Here is a 22,281-nt window from a genome sequence, read left to right on the forward strand (position 1 = left end):
AGATAAATTTTTGTATCAAAAGTTTTTAAAAATTCTTTTTAAAACTTGTTTCATTTCAAGAAGGATTTCAAAAACTTCTGAAGAAACAAATTAGTCAATGAAAATAAACTAAATTCAGTAAAATTGATTTTTGATATCATAGAGATTCTGACTCATTCTCATAGCTGTATATTAAGATTAAAGGTCCATTTAAAATGAATTCAAAGTTACTGTCTGTTACTTGGAATAACTAGTATAGAATGGCTGGAATTTGCAGAGATATTTGCCTTTTAAAATAGGGGAAGAGAAGGATGGGTAGAAAAACTGTCTTAAATTAATAGCTAAAGATAACAGATACAAAAGAAAAATATAGTTTAGGAAATAATGTACAGAAATGTTAGCATTATGAAATATAAATGTATTAGAGAACTATATAACTTTTATATTTATTCATGGTAATGAATGCCTCTAAAAAGTCAAAGATTGTTCAGAACTCAGTATATTATTTTGCTTACACAATTTTTACTAAAGTAAAGTGATACAAAACATTAGGACAAAGTAACTAATTTTATAGAACATTGCTTTTACTCTTCCACTTGCCTGAAATTCAGTCTCTGGGTATTTTTATGGCTCTCTGTTTCACTTATTTCAATATGGCCCCATCATTGCAGCCTTTTCTGAAAATTATTTTTTAAGAAAGAAAGCTCAAAAGTCTCCATGCGCTATCTCCACTTTTTCTTCACAGCACTCTTACCTCATAGTACTGCTTGTCATTCCTTCAACTACCCGGTCCATCCTTTTCACAGGTCCTTCGCCCTAATGATCCATCCGTGTGGAACACATTCCCACCCTGTACCTACATGACTAACTCTTCCCTCCTTCAAGTCTTTGCTCACCTGTCATCTTTTCACTGAGATACACCTTGTCCTCCATTTTGGTTGCTTCCTCATGCCCCTGTTTCTGAACACCCCTCCCACCTTTTATGCTGTTTTACATTTCCTTTATTTCATTTATAGTACATGTTACCTTCCAATATGTTGTTATCACTGACCTTTGTATTTATTTGTTTCCCCCTGCTGAGAATCTATAATCTACAAATACTCTAATAGAAAAGACCAGACTTGCATATCAACATTTGAATTTTTCTTTCCCACAATCTATGTGTAATTTATAGTAGTTTATTAAAAGTAATTTATAAATTTAGAAAGCCTAACTTAAAGCAGTCATAACCACAATGCAATGCAGTAAAAAATATACATTGGCTGGATGCAGGGGCTCACACCTGTAATCCCAGCACTCTGGGAGGCTGAGGCAGGAAGATCAGTTGAAGTCAGGAGTTCAAGACCAGCCTGGCCAACATGGTGAAACCTCATCTCTACTAAAAAAATACAGAAATTAGTCTGGTGTGGTGGGTGTGCCTGTAGTCCCAGCTATTCGGGAGGCTGAGGCAGGAGTATTGTTTGAACTTAGGAGGCAGAGGCTGCAGTGAGTCAAGATTGTGTCACTGTACTTCAGCCTGGGCAACAGAGCAAAACTCCAAATAAATAAATAAATATTTATAAGATATAAATAATTTTAACTCACAATTTTAAAAACTTAGAATCATAATTTTATTATGATTTCAATAACTTAATGACTAAGCATCTCTGAGGTTAATCTTAGTCAAATAAGAAATGAAAATTTTAACTTTAGACTATATAATATGCCACAATAGGAACAATTCAGATTACTATGTATATAGGTGAAAAGTGACATCTGGGTGAATAATACAAACATTAAATTCTGGTATTATTAAACAGGTAACCATAAGAAAATACTTTTACTAGGTGGTAGAGAAAAAATCATGAATCCAACCTGATAAAGTAGGGGAAATAAAATGTTAAAACAAAAAATAACTAAAATAACTAATGATTAAGCAAGTTAATAAGCATTTGAACAAAATCTATCAAAAAAGTAATTTTTTTAATTGAGCCAAAGATGAAAAAAAAGTAAACATAATGCAGAAGAGAGAGACAGATTGAAAAAGAGAACAGAAAAAGCATAAGAAACATAGTTTAAAATATAATGAACTAAGTCTGTGCACATCTGTAATCCCAGCACTTTGGGAGGCCAAGGCAGGAAGACTGCTTGAGCCCAGGAGTTCGAGACAAACCTAGACAACATAGGGAGACCCCATCTCTACAAAGAATATAAAAAATTAGCCGAGCTGGTGGCGAGCACCTGTAGTCCCAGCTACTTGGGAGGATGAGTCAGGAGGATGGCTTGAGCCCAGGAGGTGGAAGTTACTATTAGCCGAGATAGCACAACTGCACTCAGCCTGGGCAACAAAGCGAGACTCTGCCTCTAAATAAATAAATAAATCATAAAAATATAATAACCTAGAACGTTACATTATTTCATCATTTAAAGAGATTTAAAATCTCTGATCAGAATTAGGCTTCTGTAATGACATAGTAAATAGTAAAATAATTTTCCTGCCATTATAAACAACTCTGAACCTGAACAAAATGGTTTTGAATGTTAGAAAAGCATTGAGCAAGAAAACTCCTTGCTCACGGAGATTTTACGATCACCAATCCTATTGAGGTAGTTTTGACATAGTCACCTTTTGCCTCTTATTTGGCTTAAACCCTAATGTCATCTATTGTTAAAGAGTGTGATATCGGCTTTTAAATCTTCAAATCAACCTGTCTCCGGATCACTAAATTTCTGATGAATACAATCGCCCTTCTCAAAGCTCACCAAAGGTACAATAAATACATACAAATGTAGCTGCTTTATACCTACCAACAGATTATCTCCTGAAATTCTAGATTATGGGCATGCTTTCCTTCTAGACTCACTTTAAAATTTACATGAAATTGGTATATCTCTGATATAGACCAATGGAACAGAACCGAGCCCTCAGAAATAATACCACACATCTACAACTATCTGATCTTTGACAAACCTGACAAAAACAAGAAATGGGGAAAGGATTCCCTATTTAACAAACGGTGCTGGGAAAAATGGCTAGCTATATGTAGAAAGCTGAAACTGGATCCCTTCCTTACACCTTATACAAAAGTTAATTCAAGATGGATTAAAGGCTTACATGTTAGACCTAAAACCAAAAAAACCCTAGAAGAAAACCTAGGCAATACAATTCAGGTCATAGGCGTGGGCAAGGACTTCATGTCTAAAACACCAAAAGCAATGGCAACAAAAGACAAAATTGACAAATGGGATCTAATTAAACTAAAGAGCTTCTGCACAGCAGCAGAAACTACCATCAGAGTGAACAGGCAACCTACAGAATGGGAGAAAATTTTTGCAATCTACTCATCTGACAAAGGGCTAATATCCAGAATCTACAATGAACTCAAACAAATTTACAAGAAAAAAAACAAACAATCTCATCAAAAACTGGGCAAAGGATATGAACAGACACTTCTCAAAATAAGACATTTATGCAGCCAACGGACACATGAAAAAATGCTCATCATCACTGGCCATCAGAGAAATGCAAATCAAAACCACAATGTATCATCTCACACCAGTTAGAATGGCGATCATTAAAAAGTCAGGAAACAACAGGTGCTGGAGAGGATGTGGAGAAATAGGAACACTTTTACACTTTTGGTGGGACTGTAAACTAGTTCAACCATTGTGGAAGACGGTGTGGAGATTCCTCAGGGATCTAGAACTAGAAATACCATTTGACCCAGCCATCCCATTACTGGGCATATACTCAAAGGAATATAAATTATGCTGCTATAAAGACACATGCACACTTATGTTTATTGCGGCACTACTCACAATAGCAAAGACTTGGAACCAACCCAAATGTCCAACAATGATAGACTGGATTAAGAAAATGTGGCAGATATACACCATGGAATACTATGCAGCCATAAAAATGATGAGTTCATGTCCTTTGTAGGGACATGGATGAAGCTGGAAACCATCATTCTCAGCAAACTATCACAAGGACAGAAAACCAAACACCGCATATTCTCACTCATAGGTGGGAATTGAACAATGAAAACACTTGGACACAGGAAGGGGAACATCACACACCGGGGCCTGTTGTGGGGTGGGGGGATGGGGGAGGGATAGCATTAGGAGATACACCTAATGTAAATGACGAGTTACTGGGTGCAGCACACCAGCATGGCACATGTATACATATGTAACAAACCTGCATGTTGTGCACATGTACCCTAGAACTTAAAGTATAATAAAAAAATAAAAAATAAATAAATAAACATTTACATGAAATTGACTTTATTGTCATGACTTAAGATCCACTTTAATATTTTACTTTGATTCACATTGTATATTGTTTCAGATTCTTCCTTTGCTTCCTCATCTTGGACAAATAATTCTCAGTAGAATATTTCAGTTCTCTTTTTATATTTGAATTTTTAACTCATATTTAAGAAAAAGTTTGACCTGATTATATACAGAGGAAGTTTTGGGCTACTAAATTAATTATAAAATGTTTATTAGTCTCAGGGCTGATTTTGTCTTTCTGCTCTCACTTTTGTTTCATAAAATTTTTAAAAGGACATGAAAACAGCAAAACATATTGCACAAATATTGCATGTAGATGAATTAGGTGACACCACCACACCACAATGAATAACCTGTAGCATTTTTTGGTAATGCTTCAAAATGTCTATTTATCAGCTGGTGAACGCATAATTAGCTTAGTAAGTTATCAGAAACTAACCAATACATGAACTGTAGAATTGTGCGGTTGATAAAAGGTTAATACAATATAGCTCATGGCATAGCATAAAATTTTGGTTATTAAATGAGCAAAAGACACTGAATATATAGTACAATAATTGTTATGCAATCTTTCAGTACATGTACAAATAAGCAATAAATGAACAAAGGAAAATAATTAGGAAAAATTATAATTTTAAAATAACGACAGTTTTGAATTGTGTTCATTTACTTTTATGAATCTTGTTACCTTCTGATTCTTTTCTAATTAATTGTTTTACTTCTATAATAGTATCATACTGTTAAAATTTATTTTTTAATTTATTATTTTTCAGTATTTATTAAAAATAAATCAAAATAATTTATTATTTATGATTATGATTTTTAATTATTTTTAATAATTGTGAAATTAAAATTGCACAATTAAATATTTAAAAATTTAATTGTGAAAAATGTATTATTCCATCTTTGATGGTGTCAGTCATAGAGTAACTATTTTTTCTGGAAATGCCTTCTCCACCACCCCTGTAAAATATTGAGAACATCACAAGAAAACACCAAGATAGGCTACATTTAGTCCTTGAACTTTTGTGCTTGGAAACATGCCAAACAATCTGCCTTGGCAAATGGTCCCCAGGGCCTACCAAAAGGTGCATTGTCATCAGCCTCTGGTATATGAGATCCTCTGGAATTATCCAAGTGAGAGGGAAAGAATAATCTCCTTGTGGTCACAGTAGCTGCTGGTCTTCTTTGACAAATAACTTCTTGGTAATCTTTCCATTAGACCAGAACCTAAACAAAATTTCTAGATTGGTTTATTTTAACTCAGAATAAAACATAATGAATACACCAAAATGTAAAAACAACTTATCTCAAGTAAAATAAATATTATAAAAAATTCATTTCCTCAGTTTTCATATTTTATTTATAACAAAAATTTGAGGTTGACAAATTTCCAGACAGATAATATAAGAAGAAACCTTTTTAATGAATGTTGACTCACACACAGTAAGTATTATTCTCAAAATTGGAAGATATTGTTCCAGATTTTATTTCAGATGGAATAAAATGCAGACTTTATCAGAATAATATATTAATACATACACATATCATTTAGTCTTTACCCTAAGTAATGTCAAGGTTTTTGAAACAAATGTAGAGTTGACAGAATCAGAGTCTACAAGCAAAGTATATACTTTGAAAATATAATTTTTGGAAGAAATTAGATTTTGATTAGTTAAGTCAGGAAAACATTACGTATTTTATAAATTAATGCTTATATATTGTCTATAATTTTAATGTAGCTAACTAAAATCCCCAAGGGTGAAATTTATTGGAAATTATTATTAAATAATATTGGAAACAAAAGGGGAGTAAATGATATAATAAAACGGTTTCCTGTCATTTTTTATTACATGTCTAGCTCTTTTCTCAAGTTTTCTGAAATTATTTATAAACAAGAGTATAGTATTATAAGCCGTCTCTCTGAAGTTAATATATCTTGGTAGAATCAGTGTCAACATTGAATAGATCCGACTTTGAATAAGTTACTCCAACCTTCCATACTCTTTTTTTCCTCACCTAAACTATGTGGATAATAGTAGTATCTAAGGTATACTATTTTCAGGTGGATTCAATGTGTTAATAAAGGAAGTCATTCAGAACAATGTCAGGTTCATTCTAATTATGCAATATGCTACATGCTACACTTTATTGTAACATATGCAAATGTTAATTTGTACTTACATCAATATTGGCAATAAAATTAGTTTCTTTAGTCATATTCTATAAATTTATTAGCAACTTATAGAAGGCTAAGCTAATTTTTAAATGATATGCCATTCATATAAACAGAAAGTTTTTTTTTGTTTGTTTTTTGTTTTTTGAGTCAGAGTCTGGCACAGTCGCCAGGGCTGGAATGCAATGGTGCGATCCCGGCTCACTGCAACCTCCGCCTCCCGCGTTCAAGCAATTCTCCTGCCTCAGCTTCTCCAGTAGCTGGGATTACAGGCGCCCCTGCTACGTATCAGCTTTGATTTCTCAGCAGTTTAGAGCAGGTGAACATGATGGGTAGAAGGAATAACACAAATGTGGCTGACTTCATCCTTATGGGACTGACACTTTCTGAAGAGATCCAGATGGCTCTGTTTATGCTATTTCTCCTGATATACCTAATTACTATGCTGGGGAATGTGGGGATGATATTGATAATCCGCCTGGACCTCCAGCTTCACACTCCCATGTATTTTTTCCTTACTCACCTGTCATTTATTGACCTCAGTTACTCAACTGTCGTCACACCTAAAACCTTAGCGAACTTACTGACTTCCAACTATATTTCCTTTACGGGCTGCTTTGCCCAGATGTTCTTTTTTGCCTTCTTGGGTACTGCTGAATGTTACCTTCTCTCCTCAATGGCCCATGATCGCTATGCAGCGATCTGCAGTCCTCTACACTACACAGTTATTATGTCCAAAAGGCTCTGCCTCGCTCTCATCACTGGGCCTTATGTGATTGGCTTTATAGACTCCTTTGTCAACGTGGTTTCCATGAGCAGATTGCATTTCTACGACTCAAACGTAATTCATCACTTTTTCTGTGACACTTCCCCAATTTTAGCTCTGTCCTGCACTGATACATACAACACCGAAATCCTGATATTCATTATTGTTGGTTCCACCCTGATGGTGTCCCTTTTCACAATATCTGCATCCTATGTGTTCATTCTCTTTACCATCCTGAAAATTAATTCCACTTCAGGAAAGCAGAAAGCTTTCTCTACTTGCGTCTCTCATCTCTTGGGAGTCACCATCTTTTATAGCACTCTGATTTTTACTTATTTAAAACCAAGAAAGTCTTATTCCTTGGGAAGAGATCAAGTGGCTTCTGTTTTTTATACTATTGTGATTCCCGTGCTGAATCCACTCATTTATAGTCTTAGAAACAAAGAGGTGAAAAATGCTGTCATCAGAGTCATGCAGAGAAGACAGGACTCCAGGTAATTAATATAGCAGGAATGCTGAACATTTAAACTCATCTTTTCTTTCATTCCTGTTGGGTATTTTCTTAGTCTCTCTATAAAAACAATTGAATCTTTTAATTTGTTTGCATTTCTGTTGTGCTACCCTTTGCTTCACTAAACATGATTTTAAACATTTCAAGGCATATGTTTTTAGAAATCCAAATGGTAATTAGAAATCATAATATGTGTGTCATGTTTTCAGTCTACATATATGTGTTTGAAGCAACTGATGTGGAAAATAAGAAAATATGGTTGTCATTTTTAATTATATTATTCAAATTCTTATGTATACTTCAATTGTAGATAAATTTATTATGGAAAGAACTATTTGGGACACAATGATAATAGTTTTAGATGTTATTCCATTTATTATATGGGGAAGAATTATAGCAGAGTGGGTAGGAGTACCTATTTTGGAATAAAACTTCCCAAGAATTAGATTCTAAATATGCTACATTTTTAGCTGTATAGCCAGTAATACGTTACCTAAAGCTTAAGCCTCCCTTCCCTAAGTGCACAAGATAAATAATAACTCCAAATCTGATCAGAGGGTAGTTGTAGAGTATTTAAAGCAATAATAATTAATGCTTCCCATTATCATTAGAAGACCTACATTACTGCACAAAGCCTTTTTTCAAGAATGTAAACTTGTGTTTAACAAATTATTTTTGGTTAATTTAATTGACAGAACTAAAAAGAACAAAAATCAGCAGCTCACAATTTTGGATTTCAGAAGCAAAATATTTCAGTAGAATTAAGTTATAGAAAAATAGCCTATATTAAGATAATGTTGGAGAAAATTTGAAAAATATTACAAAATATTGAAGAAAATAGAAATCCTCTACAAATATTGAGTTTTGGCTGCTCTTGATGTGGGGGTAGCCATTATTCTTTTCTTTACTTCTCTAATAAACCCATTTTCAGTTTTAGAAAAACAAATATTGAGTTTTGTGCATGTTCTTCTAGATCAATAGTTTCAAATATGTGCATGTATATAACACATATAAACAAAATTTGTATCACTTTCCATGTACTGATTTTCAGCTTTCTGTATCCATTTACAAGTTTAATGTTGTCATCGACAACTCTAATATAAATTTTTTCTTGGTACATGGACAAAATCAAGACTCACTTCACAATGTTTTGGACTTGAAATATAAACTCACCAACTTACAAATCTACATGCAGTGATATCTCTTTTGCGTGCAAAACTTCAAAAACTGGATTTCTGTAATGTGTCAAATGTGTCAAATTGCTTCTTTGTTAAAATCCTGTGTGTTTTTAAAAATCATTGCCTTTCTCCTGATTTCTACAGGTTTGTTTCAGTTGTAAAAATAACTCCTTGACTTAAATGCTTTATTCATTGATTTTAAATTTCTTAATACAGAAAAGTTGTAAAGCAAAGAATTGATAATGAATTCAGATGTTGTAACAGCCCACAAATTTAGTCAGGCAGAGTGCTAAAATGTCTTTTATTTTTAAATTTTTCTCTTCCATATCTGGAATCACAGTTTTGTTTTTCTCTGCTATTTAATGGATATTTTAGAAGCTAGTTTTTATTTTCCAAGTATTTGTCTTTTCTGTTTACACTTTTGTAACAGTTATTAGTTTTCATTCAAGCAATACTTTTTTAATCTTGTGAAATTTGTTATCTTCGTACAATTATATTTGATTTCTTCTAAGTGCATTTTGAATGTTTAAAATGGACTGTAACCTCTATTTTAGGAGTTACTATTTTAATGAAATTTCACTAATGCAAACTGTCAACTAATTTATTCACTTCATTTAAATACATACCATTTCCTCTACTTTATTATTTCAAAATTTTGCTTATCAAATATTAATACCATATAAAATTATTATGATTTAGTTTTTCCTTTGATATCCATGTTGTCCAGAATATATATTTATAGGTCCCCCTATTTGTTTTCTTTTGCAATTAGAAATAAGTATTTAATCAACATTTATTAGTTAATAATATGTCTTTGACTCATTCTCATCTTATAAATGCATAATATAATTTTATGTATTTACAGGCTCTTTCCATTTTTCTAATCATTTTTATAAGCTATGGTTTTATCTTGCTTTCATTTACGTCTACTTCTATGATTTGGAAAATGTGTCCTATCAATTTGGGTTGCAAAGATGGTCAACAGAATCTATCACTTTGTAGACAACACTTAGGCTAAGACGTTGCTTAAATTCTAATTTAATGAAGACTACCTTATCATCTTTATAATATAAGCTAAAACATATTTAAATAATATTATTAAAAAAACATACAATAATCTATGTGCAATATGAAAGATTTACATTGTTCGAATTTTACCTATAATTTCCCTATTAGTGTATAGTATATTTTATATCGGATATTGTCTAAAGTAATTTAAGACATTGTCCTCTGGTTCATAGTGTCATATACAAATGCTATATAACATAAATATGAAGAAAACTGTAATTCAGCATAGCAAAATATGAACAGCTATTTTTACTTCCAAATAATATGGCAAGATGAAAATAGTAACAATATATTTTTCTGAGCACTTACCATTGTCAGGCAATATTCAAAGGGCTTTATATATAAGTAATTAACATAATTTATGATTATAATTTAACTGTCAGATCAGCACTAGCAATATATAAAGTTTAGGCACACATTAGTGGAAAACCACCTTTTGCTTGTTCAAGCAAAGACTTAAGTTAAATTAACTTGGAATTTCCTTTTTATCGAACACACTTTATTTCCATTCCATCAGCATATTAAGGTGATTCTAAATATAGACTATATTTGGTGTCTACTTAAGCATTTGTTTCGCTACCATTCTGGCCCAGATAACTATCAGTTTCAGAATTATTGCTGCAGTACTGTAGCATGCACCTAATTTTATTCTTATTCTTCTTGAGTCATAGCTTAATGTAGGAGCCAGAGTTATACTGCTAAACAGTAGGTTGGATCATACATTTTCTTCACAAACCCTACACAATATTTCATCACAATAAGAATAAAAGCCAAGAGGTTTATAAGTGCTCATTGGTTAAAAAATGATTTCCTCAATTCTTAAATCTATGAACTCCTTTCTTATTATCCATCTGTCACGCTCACTTTGTTTCTACTCCATGACCTCCCAGCTCTTCTCTCTAAGCAATAGTACAAACACTGCCTGAAGTTTTTCCATTTTTCTCTTCTTCCTGAAACTTCTTTCCCACAAATAACTGCATGATGGTTTTTCTTATCCTTTTCTTAACAAGAGAACTCCTTGCCACCCTATTAAAACTAATACATTTCACACCCTCTTTCAAACCTTCATTTGTGTTTCATAGCAGTTATTCTCATCTGACATTCTATATATTTTTCTTGTGTCTTTTATTTTGTGTTTGTTTTCCCCTATGATCATGTAAGCTCTATGAGCAGAGAACTTTCCCCCATCACCTAGAGCAGGACAGATAAAACTTTAATCGTGAATATAAATCCTTTCATTCTAGAACTTTCTGATTTTCTCAAAAGTACATATTTGGATTTAAGATTTTTTTAAATTTCGCTGATTTATTTTTACATGCCTATACGATGGCCTCATCTTTCTCTCACCCTTTGCCAAAAGTCAAACAGTTCATCTCCCATTTCCTTTTGGAAGGGTCTTGTCTCTGCTTGGAATTGAGATTATTTAGACGAATGCAACCTTAGCTCCAAGATAGACTCACAAAAATTATGATTTTTATAGATTAACTGGATTGTTTTAAATAGGGTGGGAGCAAGTTCTTTGTAACGTTATACAGCTTATGTGGAAATAAAAGCTCTACATACCCTTTAAAACTTATCCATTGATATGACTTCAAATATGGCCCCTCTAGGTAAATCCACACTTACCTGTGCAATATCTCATTCTGCACCTTGAAAATGTAATGGAATCTCATAATCCATCCAGATATAACATCTACTCTTCTCTTACATTGTTTATTTGCTTCTGTTTTTTTTCTCTCCTTTTTTTCTTCCTTTCTTTTTTTTTTTTTTTTTGGTCTTTCTTATTGATCACTGATGCCTCAAACCTGTAAACTATTTACATCCCAATGAACAGAATCAATGAACAAGTTTTGTAGAAACCACTTATCCAATATTTTCAAGTGCATTATTTTTCTCTCTTACTTCTGTCATTGGCTGTATGAAAACTCTTAATGTTTCCAAAAGTGTTGTCCAGAGGCAGAAAAATTAAGTTGGAAAAGTAAAAAGATCAGTCAATTATTTCACTCTCTATATAACAAACTTTAAAAAGGGAATTCTGTAGCTAGGCAAATTAGGTTTGAATCCTCACATTGCTCTTAAGGACCATTCTTTTTGGCTTCTCAGTGTAGCATTCCTTTTCCTTAGTATAGGACAGGACTCTTCTGGAATGTGGGTCTCTGACCTACTTTCAGACAACATAGATCAGAGAATTTCTTTACGATGAGCGCGTCCACAGAAAATCAGGGGAAGGTCAGAGTGATGTTTTTAGGTTTATTTTGTCTTGCTTTGAAGAAAGGAATTCTATGTTCTATGACCCACCTTGGGGAAGAGAAACTGTAGTTTTTAAGGCTTGCCTTGGGAGAAAAGGGGAAGCAGAAGAAAGGAACGTAGAAGAAGGTAAACGCAACAACAACAACAACGAAAAACCTAGATTCTGAAGTCCTTACAGTTTCATTAGGTTCAAAGCCCTCAGCATGCCAAGCTACCATACTTCAAGGTATAGTGTTCTGAGCCCCAACATTTCCCCCATCTGAAACTTTTTTGACTGTTTCAAAAATTCAGAGGTGAGCTAGTGGATGTGGAGAGGAGAACCAGGTTAGAATATAAGTAGCAAAACACCTGCAAAGGGGCAGAAGATATATACTGTATGGATAATTAACAAACAGAAGAGAACAAATCTAGCACACTGAACAATCTAAGCACATAAGAACAAATCTAACTTACTCTTTGACTCACCATTCAGTCAGTAAATATTTTTGTCAATAAACTATATTTTCTATGTGCTCTTTTATACCCTAAAGATATAATTCTAATATCAAACAAACACAATACCTGTATTCATGAAAGTTACAATGTCACCACACTGGTAGATGTAGATACTAATCAAACACAACAAAAAATAATAAAAATGATTAAGTGATAAGAAAGAGAGGCCCCATGGGGATAGGATAAGTCAAAAGGTATTTTTGAGAGAAAAGTAATAGAGCTGAGTTATGTGGAGTGAAATTTTATTAACTTGAGATTTAAATATAACACTCTTCCATAGTGGTCTGAACAAATAGAAGATCATGAGAGATTGTTTATACCCACAATTTGGTTTCAAGTATAGTAGAATAAAAAGGACACTAGTAGAATTTTCATGCAGGTTAATTGGATGTTGATTCTTGATGATTTTTTGGTGTATTTTCAATTTGATATTTTTAGACATAAATGAGGTTATTCTCATCCCTCATACTCACTTCTTCCTTTGCCAAAGAATGATTATTTTTGTTAATTTGAAAAAGCAACACAATCAATAAACTGGATGACAACCTTGACTAAAGCATTTTTTTAACAATTTTGAAACCCAGATTTGAGTGGTCGATGCCTAAAAACGATCCTGGAATACTGCCAAATAGTTGAATTTTGTAAGAGACAAATAGTTAGAAGCACACTGAGGCAGATAATTTCCTTCTTCCAGAAAACTCTCCTTAAGGGATTATAAACCAAAAAGTAAATTTTAAGATGCTATGGCTGCAAACAGCATGCCTCTTTTTATAAGATAAAATCTTGTCTATAATATAGTTACTGATGCGTCTCTGCAAATTGGTTTGCCATTTTTAGAGGAATTTTGAGTGTATATTCTTCTCTCTAGTCTTTACTTATTCCAATAGAGAAATATGTGTTCTCTTTGTGTAATTGATCAGAAAGATAAGAATCTGATGTACTGAAAATTATTATCTTGGATTTCGAACTCACACTTATGAATTCACTCTAAAACGGACCATTGCTTTGATTACTATATTCTAATATATTTTTTCTCTGGCTGAATATCAGGACAATCAATCACCCCTTTGGAAAGAGACAATGTTTTACTAAAAAAAAACCCGTAACTATCCATTCTTCATGTTAAACTATCTGGAACAAAAATAAGTAAGGCAGAATGAATAAAGCAGAAGAAGGTGTGAGTTTAAGTAAAGTAAGCTTGCTTCTGGGTTCTGGGCCTTGTTTATTGGGTTTAAAATGCAAGGCCATGTGGGCTTTGGGAGGGCATGATTTGAACTCAGTGCTACTATGACACAGAGGAAAGTAACACTGGCCATAGTTAAGCCTGATTCCAAGGAGGGCACATTTAGACCAGCTCTAGCCAAGGTGAATCATCCATGCCAGCAGCTGGAACTTGGGTTCTGGGAAACCTCACCATCTTGGGCTAAAAGGGTCCTGGACTTCTAACTAAACATAAAAGGCAGTCTAGGCTACAAAGGACTGCAACTCCTAGGCAAGTCCTAGTGCTGTGCTGAGCTCACAACCAGTTGACTTGGGAGGCATGTGACCCAGTCAGACACCAGCTAGGGTAGCTAAACGACTACTTGTGCTGCATAAAATAGAGTCAAATGATGGCTTATACTAGCGCCGACATCAAAAAAGAAGAAAAACTTCAAATAAAAGACTCAACAATGTGTCTTAAAGAACTGGAAAAGAATGAACAAACCAAAGCTGAAATTAGTAGAAGAAAATAAAAAATAAAGATTAGAGCAGAGGCCGGGTACGGTGGCTCACGCCTTTAATCCCAGCACTTTGGGAGGCCAAGGCGGGAGGATCACGAGGTCAGGAGATCGAGACCATCCTGGCTAAGACAGTGAAACCCCTTCTCTACTAAAAATACAAAAAATTAGCAGGGTGTGGTGGCGGGCGCCTGTAGTCCCAGCTACTCAGGGGGCTGAGGCAGGAGAATGGCATGAACCCAGGAGGCGGAGCTTGCAGTGAGCTGAGATCGCGCCACTGCACTTGACAGGGCGAGACTCCGTCTAAAGATTAGAGCAGAAATGAATGAAATTTACAAAAGAAAAAAATACAAAAGATCCATAAAAAATTCCATGTAGCCATAAAAAAGACGGAGATTATGTCCTTTGCAGGGACATGAATGAAGTTGGAGGCCATTATCCTTAGCAAACTAACAGTAACAGAAAACCAAATACTACATGTCCTTACTTCTAAGTGGGAGCTAAATGATGAGAACACATGAACACATGGAAGGGATTGACAGACACTTGGATCTATCAGAGAGTGGCGTGTGGGAGGAGAGAGCTCAGGAAAAATAACTAATGGGTACTAGGCTTAATACCTGGGTGATAAAATAATCTGTATGACAAACCCCCATGACACAAGTTTACCTATGTCACAAACCTGACATGTATCCCTGAACTTAATATAAATTTTTTTAAATAAAAAAAGTCTTCAAAACAACAACAAAGAAAATGTGAAAAAATTTGACAAACATGTAGCCACACTAAGAAACAATTCTATATCTAGAGAACTCCATAGTCTTGGCCCAAAAGCTCCTTCAGCTGACAAACAACTTCAGCATTTTCAGGATAAAAAAACCAATGTATAAAAATCACCAGCATTTCTATACACCAAACAGTTAAGCCAAGAACCAAATCAGGAACACAATCCCACTCACAATTGCCAAAAAGAATAAAATACCTAGAAATACAGCTAACCAGGAATATGAAACAGTTCTATAATGAGAATTATAAAACACTGCTCAAAGAAATCAAAGATGACACAAATAGAAAAATATTTCATGGTCATGGATAGGAAGAATCAATATCATTGATATAGCCACTCTGCCCAAGTCAATTGACAGACTCAATGCTATTCCTATCAAACTACCAATGACTTTCTTCACAGAACTAGAAAAAAACTATTGTAAGATTAACATGGATCCAAACAGAGCCCAAATAGTCAAGGCAATGCTAAACCAAAAGAACAAAGCTGGAGGCATCACATTCCCCAACTTTAGAATACACTACAGGGCTACAATAACCAAAACAGCATGGTATAGGCACAAAAACAGGTACATAGACCAATGGAACAGAATAAAGAAGCCAGAAATAAGGCAACAAATTTACAGTGATCTGATCTTTGACAAAGTTGACAGAAACAAGCAATGGGGAAACGACTCAATATTCAATAAATGCTGCTGGGATAACTGGCAGCCATATGCAGAAGATTGAAACTGGACCTTTTTCTTACACTACATACAAAATTTAACTCAAGATGGATTAAAGACTTAAATGTAATCCCAAAACTATAATAAAACCTAAATCACAACCAAGGCAATACTATTCTGGGGATAGGAATGGGTAAAAATTTCATGATGAAGACACCAAAAGCAACCAAAACAAAAGCAAAAATTTACAAGGGATCTAATTAAACTAAACAGCTTCTGCACAGCAAAAGAAACTATCAACAGAGTAAATAGACAACCTACAAACTGGGAGAAAATTTTTGGAATCTATGCAACTGACAAAGGTCTAATATCCAGCATCTATAAGGAGCTTAAACAAATTTACAAGAAAAAAAAACCCATTAAAAAGTGGACAAAGGACATGAACAGATACTTTTTAAAAAAAGACATACATGCAGCCAATAAATATATGAATAAAAGCTCAATATCACCAATCGCTGGAGGTATGAAAATCAAAACTACAATGAGATACCACCTCACACCACTGGGAATGGCTATTATTATTATTTTAACATTTAAGTTCAGGGGTACATGTGCAGGTTTGTTACATAGGTAAACTTGTGTCATGGGGATTTGTCGTACAGATTATTTTATCACCCAGGTATTAAGCCTAGTACCCATTAGTTATTTTTCCTGATGCTCTCCCTTCTCCCACTCTCCACCCTCAGACAGGCTCCAGTGTGTGTTGTTCCCCTCTGTATGTCCATGTGTTCTTCTCATTCAGCTCCCTTTCCTTAGCAAACTGATCCAGAAACAGAAAAACAAATACCACATGTTCTCACTTACTGGTGAGAACAGCTATTATTAAAAAATCCAAACAATAACAGGTGCTGGTGAGGTTATGGAGAAAAGGGAATACTGATACACTGTTGGTTGGAGTGTAGTTCAACCATTGTGGAAAGCAGTGTGGTGATTCCTCAAAGACCTAAAAATAGAACTACACTTTGACCCAGCAATCCTATTACTGGGTATATACTCAAAGAATATAAATTATTCTATCATAAAGACACATGCCTGTGAATGTTCACTGCAGCACTATTCACAATAGCCAAAGCATAAAAATCAACCCAAATGCCCATCCACGACAGACTAAATAAATGTGATGCATGTTCACCATGGAATACTATGCAGCTATGAAGAACAAGATCGTGTCTTTTGTGGGAACATGGATGGAGCTGCAGAGTATTATCTTAAGTGAAATAGCACAGTAACAGAAAACCGAATACCACATGTTATCACTTATAGGTGGGGGTAAACACTGAGTACATGTGGAACCAAAGAAGGTAACAGCAGACACTGGGGCTTACTTGAGGGTGGAAGGTGGAAGAAGGGTAAAGAGGGAAAGGTATCAGTCAAGCGCTGTACTTATTATCTGGGTGACAAAATAATCTATACACCAAACCCCAGTGTCCTGAAATTGATCTATATAACAAACCTGCACATACACCTCTGAACCTAAAATGAAAGTTAAAAACTATAAAAATAAAAAATACATTCATGTACTAATGACAAAAAGCCCCAGAATATTCGACATCAAAACTGACAGATAAGAAAGGAAAAAACATAATTTAACTTTCAATTTTAAAATCAGTCTTAATAATTGAGAGAACAAATAAAGAAGAAAAGAGCAATATTATAGAGGACTTGAACAGCACTCTCCTCCAGTTTGAGCCGATTAAAATCAATGACACAATTATTAATCAAACAATACTGAACAACAATTTTTCAGGTAGGCTTTCTCAGAATTGGCACTATTAACATTCCGGATTGAGTAATTTTTTTGTGTGAGGGGCTGTCTTGTGAATATTGGATTATTTTGCAGCTTAAGTGACATCTACCCTCTAGATAGCAGTAACATTGTTCAAACCACCTCATCATCATGAAATCAACAATATTTGCAGACATTGACTAATGATTTCCAGTGGGAAAACTTACTTCTGGTCAAAACCACTGCTTTAAAGTTTATTGTAATTTAATTGGAAAATATTATTCAACTTAATTTGGAGTATATTATTTGAATTTAATTGGAAATATTTTGTTAAGCTACCATTATCACTATATTATTAAAGTGCTCCAATAATCTTTAAACTTGGTGTTCTGGATGCCTTTACTTCTATGTATTCTTGACAAGTACATAGTTGTGCAGCTATCAGATGAGATAATCAATTTTAAAAATATACATATTTTTATGTGAGCAATAGCATTTGATGTAAATTGTTATGCTACCTTCTGCATGTAATTGTAATTCTTTGCTTACAAAGAACATAGAGAATTATGTCACTTTACAGTGAGCAGATCTTTATTGGTTGACAACTAAGATAGATATGAATTTTATTAACAGAGAGAAAACAGATCATAAGGAAGGCACGCTTTTGTTTTTTTGAAGTTTGTTTCTTAATTTTATGAGCAAAATAATGCCTGTTTTCTATTGACCATGACTTTCCTCAGGGCAATGTCACATCCTTGTTCCTGGGGCTCCAGATCAATGGGTTTAACATGGGAATGACTACTGTGTAGAAGACAGAGGCCATCCTGTCTGTGTCAAGAGAATTTTCTGAGCATTAAGTACATAAGGAACAGTCTTCCATAGAGCATCGATGATACAGAGGGTCAATAAGAGAGGCAAAAGTTGAGGATAATGTAAAAGTGTCATCAGGAAGCTGTAGTATTAGTGTAGCATGGCTAGGAATTTGCACAGATATCTGCCTCTTAAAGTAGGGGAAGAGGAGGATGGGTAGAAAAACTATCAAAAATTAATAGCTAAAGACAACAGATACAAAAGAAAAAAATACATTTTAGGAAATAATGTACAGAAATATTCATATTATAAAATATAAACATATTAGAGAACTAAATATTCATATTATAAAATATAAACATATTAGAGAACTATATAACTTTTATAATTTATTCATGGCAATGAATGCCTCTAAAAAGCCAAAGATAGTCAGAACCCAGTATATTTTTTGCTTACTCAATTTTTACTAAAATAAAGTGATACAAAACATTAGAACAAAGCACTAATTTTATAGAACATTGTATTTACTCTTCCATTTCCCTGAAACTCACTTTCTCCAGGTATTTTTTATGGCTCTCTATTTCACTTATTTCGGTATGGGCCTATCACTGAAGACTTTCTTGGAAATTTTTTTTTTCTCTTTTTTTTGACAAAGAGTCTTGCTCTGTTGCCCAGGCTGGAGTGTAGTGGTGTGATCTTGGCTCACTGAAAGCTCCACCTCCTGGGTTCACACCATTCTCCTGCCTCAGCGTCTGGAGTAGCTGGGACTACAGTCACCCACCACCACACCCAGCTAATTTTTTGTATTTTTAGTAGCGACGGGGTTTCACCCTGCTAACTAGGATGGTCTTGATCACCTGACCTCGTGATCCACCAGCCTCGGCCTCCCAAAGTGCTAGGTTTACAGGCATGAGCCTCCACGCCCGGCCGGCAATTATTTTTTATAAAGGAAAGCTCAAAAGTCCCCATGCACTATCTCCAGTTTTCTTCACAGCACTCTTACCACATAGTCCTGCTTGTTATTCCTTCAACTACCTGGTCTATCCTCTTCACAGGTCCTTCACCCTAATGATCCATCCGTGTGGAACACATTCCCACCCCGTACCTATATGACTAACTCTTCCCTCCTTCAAGTCTTTGCTGAACTGTCACCTTTTCATTGAGATAAACCTTCTCCTCCATTTTGGTTGCTTCCTCACGCCCCTGTTTCTGAACACTCCTCCCATCTTTTATGCTGTTTTACATTTCCTTTATTTTATTTATAGTACATTTCACCTTCTGATATGTTTAATCACTCATTTTTGTATTTATTTCTGTTTGCCCCACTGAGAATTTATAATCTACAAATACTGTAATAGAAAAAGCCAGACTTGCATATTGACATTTGGATCTTTCTTTCCCAGAATCTATGAGTAATTTATACCAGTTGATTAAAAGTAATTTATAAATTTACAAGGCTTAAAGCAGTCATAACCACAATGCAATTCAATAAAAAATAAATATTGGCTGGACACAGTAGCTCACACCTGTAATCCCAGCACTCGGGGAGGCTGAGGCAGGAAGATCAGTTGAGGTCAGGAGTTCGAGACCAACCTGGCCACCATGGTGAAACCCCATCTCTACTAAAAATATACAAAAATAAGTGGGACATGGTGGGTGTGCCTGTAGTCCCAGCTACTCAGGAGGCTGAGGCAGAAGAATTGTTTGAACCCTGAAGGCAGAGGCTGCAGTGAGTCAAGATTGTGCCACTGCACTTCAGCCTGGGCAACAGAGCAAGACTCCAAATAAATAAATAAATAAATAGTAAAAATAATTTAAAATTTTAAATTTTAATTAAAAATTTTAAAAAATTAGAATCATAAATTTACTATGATTTTAATAACTTAATAACTAAGCATAGCTGAGGTTAATCTTAGTCAAATAAGAAACGAAACATTTAACTTTAGACTATTTATATAATATGCCACAATAGAAATAATTCAGATCACTATGTATACAGGTGAAGAGTGACACCAGGATGGATAATGCAAATATTAAATTCTGATAATATTAAACAGGTAACCATAAGAAAATACTTTTACTAGGTGGTGGAGAAAAAAATAATGAACCCAACCTGATAAAGTAGGGGAAAAAAATGTTAAAATAAGAATAACTAAAATAACTAACGAATAAACAAATTAATAAGTATTTGAACAAAATATATCAGAAAAGTAATTTTTTTAACTGAGCCAAAGATTAAAAAAAATAATAAACATATTCCAGAAGAGAGAGAGAGATAGAGAGAGAATAGAAGAGGATAAGAAACATAGTTTAAAATATAAAGGCCAGGCACTGTGGCTCACAACTATTATCCCAGCCCTTAGCGAGGCCTAGGCAGGAGATACCTTGAACCCAGGAATTCAAGACAAGCCTGGACAACATAGGGAGACCTCTACAAAGACTACAAAAAATTAGCTGAGCCTGGTGGCGAGTTCACCTGTAGTCCCAGCTACTTGGGAGGATGAGGCAGGAGGATCTCTTGAGCCCAGGAGGTGGACGTTACAATGAGCCAAGATAGCACAACTGCACTTCAGCCTGGGCAAAGTGAGACTCTGTGTCTAAATAAATAAATAAATCATAAAAAGTATAACTAGCTAGGACATTACATTATTTCATCATTTAAATTGAAAGAGATTTAAAATCTCTGGTCAGAATTAGGTTTCAGCAATGATTTAGTAAATGGGAAAATAATTTTCCTGCCATGATAAACAACTCTGAACCTGAACAAAATGGTTTTCAATGTTAGAAAAACATCAAGCAAGAAAATCCCTTGCTCTCGGAGATTTTACGATCACCAAGCCTATTGAGGTAGTTTTGACATAGTCACCTTTTGCCTCTTATTTGGCTTAAACCCTAATGTTATCTATTGTTAAAGAGTGTGATGCTGGCTTTTAAATATTCAAATCAACCTGTCTCAGGAGCACTAAATTTCTGGTGAATAGAATCGCTCTTCCCAAAACTCATCAAAGGTACAATAAATACATACAAATGTAGCGCTTTATACCTACCAACAGATTATCTCCTGAAATTCTAGATTATGGGCATGCTTTCCTTCTAGACTCACTTTAAAATTTACATAAAATTGATTTTTTTATAATGACTTAAGATTCACTTTAATATTTTACTCTGTTTCACATTTTATATTGTTTCAGAATCTTCCCTTGCTTCCTCATCTTGGACAAATAATTCTCAGTAGAATATTTCAGCTCTCTTTTTATATTTTAATTTTAACTCATATTTAAGGAAAAAATTGACCTGACTATACATGGAGGAAGTATGTTTTGGGCTACTAAATTAATTATAAAATGTTTATTAGTCTCATGGCTGATTTTGTTTTTCTGCTCTCACTTTTGTTTCATAAAATTTTAAAAAGTACATGAAAACAGCAAAACATAGTGCACAAATATTGCATGTAGATGAATTAGGTGACACCACCACACCAGAATGAATAACCTACACCACTTTCTGATAATGCTTCAAAATGTCTGTTTATCAGCTCGTAAACACATAGTTAACTTAGTAAGTTACGGGGCACTAACCAATACATGAACCGTAGAATTGTGTGGTTGATAAAAGGTTAATATAAGATAGCTCATGGCATAGCATAAAATTTTGGTTATTAAATGAGCAAAAGACACTGACTGTATAGTACAATAATTGTTATGCCATCTATAAGTACATGTACAAATAAGGCACAAAGGAAAATAATTAGGAAAAATTATAATGTTAACAAAATGTTAACGACAGTTTTGAATTGTTTTCATTTACTTTTTTTGAAT

At 34.2% G+C, this 22,281-nt stretch overlaps 1 protein-coding gene and 1 pseudogene across 2 annotated transcripts; one reads left to right on the forward strand and one right to left on the reverse strand.

Moving 5' to 3' along the window:
• Window positions 1-5,399: 5,399 nt before the first annotated feature.
• On the forward strand, window positions 5,400-9,371 carry OR8H2 (olfactory receptor family 8 subfamily H member 2). Of its 2 annotated transcripts, none has more exons than NM_001005200.2 (2): window positions 5,400-5,700; window positions 6,581-9,371. In NM_001005200.2, the coding sequence occupies exon 2, from the start codon at window positions 6,756-6,758 to the stop codon at window positions 7,692-7,694; it is 939 nt and encodes a 312-aa protein (NP_001005200.1). In that variant the 5' UTR covers window positions 5,400-5,700; window positions 6,581-6,755; the 3' UTR covers window positions 7,695-9,371. The 2 variants fall into 2 exon arrangements, with proteins under 2 accessions (NP_001005200.1, NP_001372993.1); NM_001386064.1 differs by having other exon boundaries at window positions 6,585-9,371.
• Window positions 18,351-18,968, reverse strand: OR5BN2P (olfactory receptor family 5 subfamily BN member 2 pseudogene; annotated as a pseudogene).

Source organism: Homo sapiens, chromosome 11 (assembly GCF_000001405.40).
Source record: "Homo sapiens chromosome 11, GRCh38.p14 Primary Assembly".
Taxonomy (NCBI): domain Eukaryota; kingdom Metazoa; phylum Chordata; class Mammalia; order Primates; family Hominidae; genus Homo; species Homo sapiens.